Raw genomic sequence first — 12841 nt, 5'->3', positions numbered from 1 at the left:
CTCACTCCCCAAGTCCCATTCAGGAACAGTGGGAGAAGCAGCCACCTGAGCAGGCAGGGGTCAGACTCAAGACCCAGGGGACGACCCAGGGGACGTCCCAGGACCCAGACCACGACAGGGAGGGCTGGCAGGGGCCGCAGCCGAACATCCTGCCCTCCCTCGAGGAGACGCACGTCCGCAATGCCTACCTCACAGCGTCCAGTCTCTTATTCTGCCGGATGAGTTCAATGAACTCCTGGATTCTGAGGCTGAACTCCAGGCAGCTCTGAGGGCAAAGACAAGACGAGGGCTTAGACAGCACATCCCACAGAGCCCAGGTGCCCGGGTGCCGCACCCGCATGTCCACCAGCAGACCCCACAACCAAAGCTCTGAACCCCTCTCTCACAGGCACGGGGAAGGCAGGGCTGAGGCTGAAGCTGCCACTTTAACCTGCAGCAGACTTTCCAGGGAACACTGGGTTCTGAATGTGAGTCCCGCCCCCTGCTCCTGCAGCTGCGGTGGGGCGTGCAGCCGCCCAGCATTTCAACCCGAAGGCCAGGGCGCTCAGGGCGCTTCCAGGAGCACAGCTGGGAGGGCAGAGCAGCAGGTGCAGCTGCTGGAGCAAAGGCACCAACCCCTCTGCAAGGACAAAGCAGCTTCCTGGGTCCCGCCCTGAGGCCACTGCTTCCTCTACACTCCCACCGGGCCTCTGGACCCAACTATCCCGAATGTAGACTGGGTGCTGGCTTGAACCCGGGGCTGTTCTGGGAGAACGTGGGCAAGTCCTGTCCCGAGGCGCTGATGCCCCGGGTGGGGAGGAGACAGGGACCACATGTGGGGCTGCTGGCTGGTGCCTCACAGGGGCATGAGGCAGAGAAGCAAGCTTGGAGCAGGCAGGACCCAGGTCGGCAGGGCGGGGAGGAGACAGGGACCACATGTGGGGTTGCTGGCTGGTGCCTCACAGGGGCATGAGGCAGAGAAGCAAGCTTGCAGCAGGCAGGACCCAGGTCGGTAGGGCGGGGAGCGCCTGCACCGAGGTTATGGACGGGGGACCGCACAGACACCTGGCGAGAACATGGCGGGCAGAAGCCGGGGCCGGTGCCGAGGCCCCAGGCGGGTGGCACATGGAATGGAGGCCTGGCCCAGGGGACACTGAGGTCCTAGGTGGCTGTGAGGCCAAGGGGCGGCTCGCGTGAAGGGAGGGCGCTTCCAGGATGTGTAGAAGACGGAGAGAGGCCGAGTTGGGGCTGCTGGCTGAAGGCACTATGCCTGAGGCAGGGGCGGGGGTGGGGGAAGCTCCTGCAGGACCAAGTCCCACATGTGTCTGCCTATGAGCCTCTCACGTGCACCTAAGGGAAGCCCAACCCTCAATCTGAAATCTCAGCAACCTCAGTCCAACGTGGGCCGAGACTTGTGGCTGGGGTGGGGGCAGCGGCAACATTGACCGCAGTCATCCAAGATGAGACGCGGATTCTACGGAAGTGACATGTCCGTCTAAACCGTAAGATCTTCCGTGTGGTTTCAGGACATTCTCAGGGCTTCACCCCGGAAACAGGATATAGGCGTGGGCACCACGGAGCGAGTCTTGGGCTGGGGCCGCGTGTCACTCTGGGTTCACATGGCCTGGCTCTCAGGACGGCATGAACAGAAACTCCACGTGGCAGATGAATCCACCCCGGACCACTGCATTTAAGTTGAAGCTCATCACTTCCGCTTCCCAGAGCTTTCCCCACTGAGCTTTCTGAGGAGCCACCTGTGCTCCAGCCCACCCCGCCTGCCAGCCTTGCTGCCCCGACACGCATAGCACCCACAGCAGTGGCTCCGCGTGGGTGTGGGGAGGACTGGGCTGCCCAGACCCCCGGGGGCCACCTGCCTTCCAGGGGCTCAGAGGGGCTCAGGTCCCTGCCCTGCTGCCTCTGCCCTGTACCCTCAGCCCCTCATCACCCTGTGTCCCTAGACAGACGGGTCAACAGGCTGGACGCAGAACTCACAGGCTTGCTCCAAGCTGGGGCAGGAGGACTGTCTCTGACCCCAGCAGTGGCACAGGCTCTGGGTGGGGAGTGCCAGGCTTGGTACAAATCAGCCGAGAGGCACAAAGTCATCCCAGGGTCCCGAGTCCCCACCCCACTAATCAGCAGGCAGACTTCGGTCAGCACTCCGCTCCCTTCAGAGCCAGCCTGGCAGGAGAGGAAGGGAAGGGCCAGCGGGAAGAGATAGAGGCTCCCCACCAGGGCCCCACCTGCCTCCCAGGGGCTGCCTGATGGCTGCCGTGTCTAGAGCAGGCGAGTGCCGGGGCTCTGTCTAAAGGCAGGACGCAGCTGCCGAGGGGGTGCTCTAGAAGAGCAGGACTCTGGGCCCACTCTAGGTTACCGCTTCACACAATAGACACCTCAAACCTGCTTTTCAATAACACCTTTTGCTCTAGTAGGTTACTTTCAATTGGTCCACTAATATGTAAGTGTGTCTATGTCGTGAAACTTAGGTATTCAGACCCAAATCTAAAACACCGAGTCTACACTGTCCCATACGGCGTGGAGCGCCAACAAGGCTGTGCCCGCCCTGCGACAGGCGCCCACACTGATGGCTCCGTGTGGCTTTCGCACAGACGTGCAGCAAACAAATCACTGCTTCAGGGGCCTTCAGGGCCACTCACCCACCCATGCCTGTGAAATCCATCTCTCAGCCAGGTCAAACTTGGGTCTCAAGTTTCTTTTCCCATCTAGGTTCTCACAGCTGGTCCCAGGGACCCGTTAGAGCACAGTCTGGCTCCTCCTTGCCTCCCCACACACCCCCTGGCGTGCGTGCACATGTGAGCAGACTGCACAGACAGCCGTGTACCCCAACTGGCTCGGCCGCATCTCGTACCGGGCATGTTTTCGTGTCATTTGGAGTCTTCAGGGCGCATTTCTGGACAGCATCTAAATATGGATTCAGGCCCCGTCCAGTCTCGACTTCATCCAACACCAGGCACGCTCATCCAATCTCAACTCATCCAACACCAGGCACGCTCATCCAATCTCAACTCATCCAACACCAGGCACGCTCATCCAATCTCAACTCATCCAACACCAGGCACGCTCATCCACCAGGCATCCAATCTCAAATCATCCAACACCAATCTCAACTTTATCCAACACCAGACACACTCATCCACCAGGCATCCAATCTCAACTTCATCCAACACCAGACACACTCATCCACCAGGCATCCAATCTCAACTTCATCCAACACCAGACACACTCATCCACCAGGCATCCAATCTCAACTCATCCAACACCAGGCACGCTCATCCAATCTCAACTCATCCAACACCAGGCACACTCATCCAACCTCAACTCATCCAACACCAGGCACGCTCATCCAATCTCAACTCATCCAACACCAGGCACGCTCATCCACCAAGCATCCAATCTCAACTTTATCCAACACCAGGCACGGTCATCCACCAGGCATCCAATCTCAACTTCATCCAACACCAATCTCAACTTCATCCAACACCAGACACACTCATCCACCAGGCATCCAACCTCAACTTCATCCAACACCAGACACACTCGTCCACCAGGCATCCAATCTCAACTTCATCCAAACCAATCTCAACTTCATCCAACACCAGACACACTCATCCACCAGGCATCCAATCTCAACTCATCCAACACCAGACACGCTCATCCACCAGGCATCCAATCTCAACTCATCCAACGCCAGGCACACTCATTGACCAGGCATCCAATCTCAACTTCATCCAACACCAGACATACTCATCCACCAGGCATCCAATCTCAACTTCATCCAATACCAGGCACACTCATCCACCAGGCATCCAATCTCAACTCCATCCAACACCAGACACACTGATCCACCAGGCATCCAATCTCAACTTCATCCAACACCAAGCACGCTCATCCAATCTCAACTCATCCAACACAAGGCATGCTCACCCAATCTCAACTTATCCAACACCAGGCACGCTCATCCACCAGGCATCCAATCTCAACTTCATCCAACACCAGGCACACTCGTCCCCCAGGCATGCATTCAGGGCCCCGAGTCCTGGCCCTGCCTGTCCCCACAGCAGCTTCAGACAGGTCGTGTGCTCGTGGCAAGCCTCCAACACCCTCCAGCAACACTGTCCGGCAGGTAATTAGGGCTTGCAGGAATATCCTGGCAGCACCAAGAACCTATCTTCCCTCTGACATCCACAGGAAACAGCCCTGGCAGAGTTCCCACTGTGAGGTGTGTGCCGGCTCTCTGGGAGGGAGTGTGGGGCTGGCACTGTGTAGTGGGGCCGCAGGTTACATACCAATTCTGGCTTTCCTTTTAGGGTTTCCATACCAAGGTCCAAACTCTCTTTAGGGGAGCTACTAGCCGCTCTACTTTTTCGTCCCGTCTTTGCTTCGTGCTTGTTTTGGCGGCCCTGAGTGGCAGTGTGTCACTCCTGGCTGGTAACTGCGTGCACCCTGCCAAACTCAGCCAGGGTGAGGTTAAAGCAGCGCTCAGTTTAGAAGACAGAAAAGTTTTGCTAATGGAGGCAGAAGTGTTAACATAAGTTAAAACATTTCTGCAAGCCCCTAGGGTGACAATGCCTTTTAATAAGCAGGTTTAAATTTTGTCCTTTAGGAGTCCATTTCTTAAGCTTCTTTTGGTCTCTACAAAAGTCGGTACTCGGCCGGGCACGGTGGCTCACGCCTGTAATCCCAGCACTTTGGGAGGTTGAGGCAGGTGGATCACAAGGTCAGGAGATCAAGACCATCCTGGCCAACGTGGTGAAATCCCATGTCTACTAAAAATACAAAAATTAGCCGGGCATGGTGGCGCATGCCTATAATCCCAGCTACTCAGGAGGCCAAGGCAAGAGAATCGCTTGAACACCGGAGGCAAGTGAGCCAAGATCGTGCCACTGCACTCCACCCTGGCGACAAAGCGAGACTCCGTCTCAAAAAAAAAAAAAAAAAAAAAAAAAAAAAAGTGGGTATTCATTAACAATATCACAGCCCAGAGCTCTGCAGCCTCGCAGATGGAGAATGACTTCCCAACCAGCTTTTCTGTGTCTATGACTGAGCACAGGGAGCCCATGGAGTACCCCCATGGAGCAGGACTGACCTGTCTCCAGGCTCTAAGCCCAGCAGCCCCAACACTCTGTGTGCACATGGTCAGCCTCCTGTAACCCACTCCTTCTGAGCCTCATGCCAGCTGTACACAAACTGTAATGCCAAATGAGGTGCACTTTTCCAGATTTTAGCCTAAAAGTGTAACACAGCCACCAAAAAAACTCCCAAACCCAACCCCCACCTTACAAACCAAAACCAAACTACTGTGAACCACCAGGCAAGGGGGTGCTGGCTCCAGGGCAGGTGGCGCAGCCTCGGCCCCGACCCACTCCCACCCCAACCTGGGAGTCCGTGCACCTTCATCTTCCGGAGCCGGGACTTGTTGTCATGGCACCAGGCCAGGCAGGTGGCCGTCTCACGCCTCTCCAGGGACTCCTCCACCTCTTTGGCCGTCAGGAACATCTCAATATTCACTAGGTCCTTAGAGGAAGGAAGCAGCACCTGATCAGAATGTGCTGGCTCAAGGCCCCCATGCCACCCTCCCACACCCCAGCCTCCATGAGGCAGGCCCAGCACCGGCCACCACTCGAGATGCATCTCCAGTCCACACTGTGGGTCTGCACTCGTGGACTACTCAGGGCCGCTCTGAGATCCTAGGAACAGAACAGCCCCCAAGGACCAAAAGGTCGGACGCTCACGTAGACAGCAGCCATAGCCGGGCAAGGGAGCCAGGCTGGCCCCACCTGTCCATGGAGAGGAGCTGCTGAGACACACATGCAGGCAGGGCCAGGCCACATGCCAGGCGGCCCTGTCTCCACTCCCCACAGCCCCCCAGCACATCTACAGGCCCTCCCTGGGCAGCCCCCTCATTTCAAAATCAACAGTAAGCAAATAATAACATGCTAAATAATACATAAACACATTATGGCTAATATCGCGGTAGTTACAACCAATGATTTATATGAAAGCAAAGAAAAAAAAAAAAAACAACAAAAAAAACAGAGTAACCCAGGCTTAGCATCAAGTCTCCGCTAGTGGCCGGGCACAGGGGGTGGGTGCTCAGTGCCTAGCAGTGGAACCCATGGTCTCTGGCAGGGGCAGGACAGCAGCTGGTACGGGACTCCACCAGGCACGGCAAGGCTTGGGGCAAGCGCTCAGGTGGTCCTCAGCAGCAATGACTCCCGACCTTCCCCAGTGGGACCAAGGACGGCACCTCCGCCTGCACATAGCCCAGGACCCAACGGCCCAGGATGAGGCCACAGTTCACCACTTGGGTCCCACAGCCCCACGTCTGGACCACCGGCCTCACAGATGCGCTGTTTTCTTTGATGATTACTCTTTTCTGAAACCCCTCATAACGTTGTTTTCTTGCACCTTTTCTTTCATGATTTCTTGTTTCTGAAACCCCTTCATAGCATTTTCTTGCATGTTTGCTTTGATGATTTCTCTTTTCTGAAACCCCTCACAGTGTTGTTTCCTTGCATCTTTTCTTTAACGGTTTCTCGTTTCTGAAACCCCTTCATAGCGTTTTCTTGCATGTTTGCTTTGATGATATCTTTTTTAAAGCCCCTTCATAGCGTTTTCTTGCACGTTTGCTTTGATGATTTCTTTTCTGAAGCCCCTTCATAGCGTTTTCTTGCACATTTGCTTTGATGATTTCTTTTCTGAAGCCCCTTCATAGCGTTTTCTTGCATGTTGATTATTCTTTTCTGAAGCCCCTTCAAAGCATTTTCTTGCATGTGTGCTTTTGTTTGTTTTTTTGAGACGGAGTCTCGCTCTGCCGCCCAGGCTGGAGTGCAGTGGCGCAATCTCCACTCACTGCAAGCTCCGCCTCCTGGGTTCACACCATTCTCCTGCCTTGGCCTCCCGGGTAGCTGGGACTACAGGCGCCTGCCACCACGCCCGGCTAAATTTTTGTATTTTTAGTAGAGACAGGGTTTCACCGTGTTAGCCAGGATGGTCTCGATCTCCTGAACTCGTGATCTGCCCACCTTGGCCTCCCAGAGTGCTGGGATTACAGGCGTGAGCCACCGTGCCCGGCCTCTTGCATGTTTGCTTTGATGATTTCTTTTCTGAAGCCCCTTCATAGCGTTTTCTTGCATGTTCGCTTTGATGATTTCTTTTCTGAAGCCCCTTCATAGCGTCTTCTTGCATGTTCATGTTGATGATTTCTTTTCTGAAACCCCTTCATAGTGTCTTCTTGCACGTTTGCTTTGATTATTTCTTTTCTGATGCCCCTCCATAGCGTTTTCTTGCACGTTTGCTTTGATTTCTTTTCTGAAGCCCCTTCATAGCATTTTCTTGCAGGTTTGCTTTGATGATTTCTTTTCTGAAGCCCCTTCATAGCGTTTTCTTGCATGTTTGCTTTGATGATTTCTTTTCTGAAGCCCCTTCATAGCGTTTTCTTGCATATTTGCTTTGATAATTTCTTTCTAAAGCCCCTTCACAGCGTTTTCCTGCATGTTGATGATTCTTTTCTGAAGCCCCTTCATAGCATTTTCTTGCATGTTTGCTTTGATGATTTCTTTTCTGAAGCCCCTTCATAGCATTTTCTTGCACGTTTGCTTTGATTTCTTTTCTGAAGCCCCGTCATAGAGTTTTCTTGCACGTTTGCTTTGATTTCTTTTCTGAAGCCCCTTCATAGTGTTTTCTTGCACGTTTGTTCTGATGATTTCTGAAGCCCCTTCATAGTGTTTTCTTGCATGTTTGCTTTGATGATTCTTTTCTGAAGCCCCTTCATAGCGTTTTCTTGCATGTTTGCTTTGATGATTTCTTTTCTGAAGCCCCTTCATAGCGTTTCCTTGCATGTTTGCTTTGATGATTTCTTTTCTGGAGCCCCTTCATAGCGTTTTCTTGCATGTTTGCTTTGATGATTCTTTTCTGAAGCCCCTTCATAGCGTTTTCTTGAATGTTTGCTTTGATGATTCTTTTCTGAAGCCCCTTCATAGCGTTTTCTTGCATGTTTGCTTTGATGATTCTTTTCTGGAGCCCCTTCATAGTGTTTTCTTGCATGTTTGCTTTGATGATTTCTTTTCTGAAGCCCCTTCAGGGCAGGCGAATGTTGGGTCTCCCACAAAGTCTTACTTTGTTTTGCAACTTGAAAAACCATTTTTTTTTTTTTGAGACAGGGTCTCGCTCTCTTGTCCAGACTGGATGGAATACAGTGGTGAGATCATGGCTCACTGTTGCCTCAAATTCCTGGGCTCAAGTGATGCTCCCACCCTGGTCTCCCAAAGGCCTTGTTTTGTAGTTTTGCTCTAAATTTCAGGAGGTGGCTCCTGGTCTATATCCTGCCTCATGTCCCGTCAACACAGCCTCGGGGTCTGAACCCAGTTGGATCTCTCTTACTGAGGGTTTCTCCAATGTCCGGGTCTCCGGTTGTGAGAGTCACATGAAAGATGTGAGGCCAGCTGGCAGCAGGCTCGTACGTCAACTGAAACTAGAAACCATCTAAGTGAACTGGTTTTCTGTCTCACACGAAATGCTCATGCTGACTTTTGTTTGTTTTGAGACAGGGTGTTGTCCTGTTGCCCAGGCTGGAGTGCAGTGGTGCAATCTTGGCTCACTGCAGCCTCCACCTCCTGGGCTCAAGTGATCCTCCCACTGCAGCCTCCAGAGTAGCTGGGACCCCAGGCACCCACCAACACTCCCAGCTAATTTGAAAAAAAATTTGTAGAGAAGGGTTCTCACTTTGCTGCCCAGGCTGGTCTCAAACTCCTGGGCTCAACAGATCCGCTCGCCTCAGCCTCCCAGAGTGCTAGGATTACGGGTTGAGAGCCCTGCGTCCAGCCTAAGGCAGCACAGGCAGGCGCACAGCACCAGCCACACTGAGGACTCTGTTCTGCCCCTCCTGGGCAGCCTTCCCTCGGCAGCAGGCTTCCTGTCCTGTTCCTGTGTGGCCTTCCCTGGGCAGCAGCTTCCTGTCCTGTTCCTGGGTGGCCTTCCCTTGGCAGCAGCTTCCTGTCCTGTATTGTCTGGGACCTTGCTCCAATCCAGAGCATGAGGTTATTTTCCTAAGTTTGTCACGTCTCCAATTTTGGTGCACAGGAATTTTGGTGCACAGGTAGGAAACTGGGGTCCCACGTGGGAATTCCATGGCGCCCCCTACAGGAAGTCCAGGTCTGACCAGCGCAGCCGGGGTTTACATTTCCACAACCTGGCAGCTCCCCCTCGGCCACAGCAGCACCTTCCCCAGGGCTTCCTAGTGCCATGGTCACCTGTGGTCAAAAGCGATTCCTCAGCTCAACGCCCTCCGGAGCATCTCAGCAGAAAGAACCCCTCCCCCGCAACCCAGTCCTCATGGGCTCCACACGCCCGCCTTCTTCCACACAGCAGCTCCAGGCCCTCTTTTGGACAGACATGCTCAGGGCACCCCAACACCTTGAGTGTAGCCCGTCTCACCCTGCTGAGGCCTACTCCAACTGGCCTTAGAATCATCAGCACTCCCATATCCACCCTGCTCTACGCACTTCTGTGGAACGCGTGGCCTGTGCCCACCACAGGACCCCCTTCTTTCACTTCACGTCTCTCTCCCCCAACACAGCGCACATTCCCTGGGGCCAGGGGCACCCACAGCTCATGCTTCAGCAGCCACCGCCAGGTTGCTTGGTCACACCCCATGGGTCCCAAGGACAGTGTGCTGGGCGTTTAGGAGAGGATGGCTAGGTCATCTATGAACACACGGGGGGCCGCCCCAGGCAGCCAGGACATGTGGGCAGCACGGAGCGAGGGCCTGTGCATTGGGGGAAGCCGGGCACACGGGGCCAGGGAGGCGGGTGGGTGGGAAAGGCATGTGGGACAGGGCACCGGAGCGGACATGTGCTGGCCCACTGTCCGTCACATGAGCCTGGGCAGGTGCAGGTGAGAATGCCCTTCCCTGACACCCAGGTGGAGGAAAAATGGCACCAGATGGGGGCCACAGCAGCCCAGTGGGCAGCACGGCAGAGGCATCACAGACGACCCCGTCCAGCGATGAGAATGTTGGGTGCACACTGGAGTGGCTGCGAGTCATGACCTGGAGACTTCGGAAACTCAACAAGACTGCAGGGCACCCAGGGGCACCAGCCCCGGTCACCGCAGAGGATCAGTGCACTTTGCCATCTGGCAGATCAACTCATGGCACAGCTGTGACACATCACATTCACGCTTGTGAACCGAGACGCCATACCCCAGCGGTGCCGAGAGCAACAGTGCTGTGCAGGTCTGGGCAGATGAGGGCCTCCAGGACACGAGGACTCACTCGCTCACCCTGCCCACTGGGCAGCTGCTCGCCACTCCCCTCCTGGAGGGCAGGACGGACACCACACACACACACAAGCAGGGAGGCTGTGCAGCAGTGGGGAGAAGGCATGGGTGGGAGGGTGCCGCTCCACCCAGGGCAGCATCTGAGAGAAGGTGAACGAGGTGCGGGACAAATGCCGAGGACAAGAGCCAGCAAGAGGGTGGGGCCAGGTGGGTCTGCGGGTGAGTCCGGAGTGTGGGGCCTGCAGATGAGTCCGGAGTGTGGGGCCTGCAGATGAGTCCAGAGTGTGGGGCCTGCGGGTGAGTCTGGAGTGTGGGGCCGGGTGGGCCTGCAGGTGAGTCTGGAGTGTGGGGGCTGGGGTGGGCCTGCGGGTGAGTCTGGAGTGTGGGGGCTGGGGTGAGCCTGCGGGTGAGTCTGGAGTGTGGGGGCTGGGGTGGGCCTGCAGGTGAGTCTGGAGTGTGGGGGCTGGGGTGGGCCTGCGGGTGAGTCTGGAGTGTGGGACCGGGTGGGCCTGCAGGTGAGTGTGGAGTGTGGGGGCCGGGGTGGGCCTGGGGGTGAGTCTGGAGTGTGGGACCGGGTGGGCCTGCAGGTGAGTCTGGAGTGTGGGGGCCGGGGTGGGCCTGGGGGTGAGTCTAGAGTGTGGGGCCGTGGTGGGCCTGCAGGTGAGTCTGGAGTGTGGGGCCGGGTGGGCCTGGGGGTGAGTCTGGAGTGCCGCAAGGCTGGGGAGCTGGGCAGGAGCGTGACAGGAGTGTGGGGGAGGCTGCAAGCCAGCAGGGCGTGCAGATGGCTGCATGGGGGCGTGAGTGTGGCCCCATGGGCACCCGAGGCCTTGGACTGCACAATGTGAGGCCGCCTCCAAGGCTGGGAAGGGAGCCTTGTGCTGGGGTTGAATTCAGCCAGGGCTGAGGCCCATGATGCCCCAGGTGGGAGCCACACACATGTGGGTGGGATTTAAGCCGTGGAAAGAGAGAAGACCCCTGGTTAGACAGAAGCAGGGAGGAGGTGGGCTGAGGAGCCGTGGCAGGGAGCAGCATGGGAGGGAGGCCTGTGGGGCCAGGCGCATGGCTGGGCATGGGGAGGCTGGGCCCGGGACAGGGCCATGGGGCACAATCCTCTCGCACAAGTCCTGCCTGAGAGGTTCTCAAGTGTTGTCATCTCAGTCAAATGGAACACGGACGCCACCTTAACCCGAGTCAGGTGAGGCTGTGCTCCCACAGCAGGATCTGGACAGGGGCAAGGGCGACGGGCCCAAGTGCTGGTCTGGGAGGCTCCAACTGCCATGGGCCCCCACAGCAGTGGACAACTGCCCGATGGCAGAGAGGCCGCCCCAGCTAACCTGGCCCAAAGGTGCCAGAGGGCAGCACCGCCCAGCGTCTGCTCAGCTGTAGCCACAGAGGGCAAGGGTGCCACGTGTTTCTACAGGGTGCCACAGAAAACACGGAAAACGCACCCCGCCTGAGATAAAGGCAAAGCTCTCACGAGGAAGCAATGGAGCATGTGTCAGCGCAAAACCCGGGGTACAGGTATCGGGCGGGAAAATCCTAAGCAGGATGTGTGCAGACACCACAGGGAAATGAGAAGAACCTGGAGAGCCGCTTAGACACTGACTTCCTGCCTTCAGAAGGCTAAGTCCCAGGTGCGTTTCCACAAAGGGTCAGGGCCTCTCAGCTGGGGAGGAGGCCCTCACCACAGCGCAGACACACACACGGGGTGGGGGAGAAACACGCACATTGGGGGGGGGGGGGCACACACACGGGAAGGGGACACACGCACACAGGGGTGGGGACATGCACATGGGGGGAGGGGGACACGCACACGGGGAGGGGGACACACACACACACTGGAGGGGGGACACACGCACACGGGGGTGGGGGGAGGGGAACACAAGCATACGGGGGTGGGGGGAGGGGAACACAAGCATGTAGGGACACAGGCATGCCGGGGGACATGCCACAGGGCGGCTGGCCATAGGCCTGGGGCCAGCTGGGGCGCTGTGCCTGCGTCTGGCGGGCACCCACCTCGATGCCGCTCTGGCGCGCCAGCTTGACAGCCGTGTTGTAGTAGCCGCAACGCAGCAGGTGCTCCACCATCATGCGATCCATGCGCTTCCTCTTCCACACGCTGGCCGCCGCGGGCTGGTCGCTGCTATGCTCTTTGAGGTGCTCGATCCGGCGCTTGCACAGCTTGGCGCTCTCGTCCTCGGCCTGGATGGATTCCACCGCCTGAGCCACACACAACAGAGGCACGTTCAGGACAGGGATGCCCCGCAGCCCTGCACCAAGGGAGGCCAGGCTGCCCCAATCCACAACACTCACAAGGAGAAAAGCAGGGATTACGGGACAGAAAAAAAACCGTGCTCTACCGAGTCCGCTAGGCAGGTGTGCCTGGCCCAAGAGCTGCAGACGGAGGCAGTGAAAATCCACCACCCTGGATCTGCAGCTTCTCTCTGCTATTTCTGGCTTTATATTAATATACCCTGAAGCCATGTTGCCAGATGCATACAATTTCAAATTTGCTATGCCTTTCTGGTTAAACTGTTTATCATTATAAGGTGACTTTAAAAAAATC

At 56.4% G+C, this 12841-nt stretch overlaps 1 protein-coding gene across 12 annotated transcripts in view, besides 3 other annotated features; it reads right to left on the bottom strand.

Moving 5' to 3' along the window:
• MAEA (macrophage erythroblast attacher, E3 ubiquitin ligase) overlaps positions 1-12841 on the bottom strand; it is a 50247-nt gene that overhangs the window by 12246 nt on the left and 25160 nt on the right. For 7 of the 12 annotated variants that reach the window (NM_001017405.3, XM_006713849.3, XM_047449495.1 and 4 more), the window contains exons 3-5: positions 12292-12495; positions 5389-5511; positions 189-265 (exon numbers count right to left, since the gene is read on the bottom strand). In NM_001017405.3, the coding sequence (NP_001017405.1) occupies positions 189-265; positions 5389-5511; positions 12292-12495 (404 nt within the window). The remainder of the gene's footprint in view (positions 1-188; positions 266-5388; positions 5512-12291; positions 12496-12841) is intronic. The other 5 variants (NR_123716.2, NM_001297431.2, NM_005882.5 and 2 more) reach the window with 4 other exon arrangements.
• Positions 819-2018: an enhancer, noted in NCBI's record as "CDK7 strongly-dependent group 2 enhancer chr4:1319662-1320861 (GRCh37/hg19 assembly coordinates)". NCBI's record gives its function as "activates an origin of replication core promoter dependent on BRD2, BRD4, P300/CBP, MED14 and CDK7 cofactors, with strong dependence on CDK7, by STARR-seq in HCT116 cells {active_cell/tissue: HCT116}" and the evidence as "EXISTENCE:reporter gene assay evidence [ECO:0000049][PMID:35650434]".
• Positions 3193-4392: an enhancer, noted in NCBI's record as "BRD4-independent group 4 enhancer chr4:1317288-1318487 (GRCh37/hg19 assembly coordinates)". NCBI's record gives its function as "activates an origin of replication core promoter dependent on BRD2, P300/CBP, MED14 and CDK7 cofactors, and independent of BRD4, by STARR-seq in HCT116 cells {active_cell/tissue: HCT116}" and the evidence as "EXISTENCE:reporter gene assay evidence [ECO:0000049][PMID:35650434]".
• Positions 9948-10448: an enhancer, noted in NCBI's record as "H3K4me1 hESC enhancer chr4:1311232-1311732 (GRCh37/hg19 assembly coordinates)". NCBI's record gives its function as "activates a minimal SCP1, AML or CMV promoter by ChIP-STARR-seq in naive H9 embryonic stem cells {active_cell/tissue: H9 hESC(naive)}" and the evidence as "EXISTENCE:reporter gene assay evidence [ECO:0000049][PMID:30033119]".

This window comes from Homo sapiens, chromosome 4 (assembly GCF_000001405.40).
Source record: "Homo sapiens chromosome 4, GRCh38.p14 Primary Assembly".
Lineage (NCBI taxonomy): Eukaryota > Metazoa > Chordata > Mammalia > Primates > Hominidae > Homo > Homo sapiens.
Note: the sequence above shows the minus strand (reverse complement) of the source record. Positions and strands in the feature narration are given on the sequence as shown.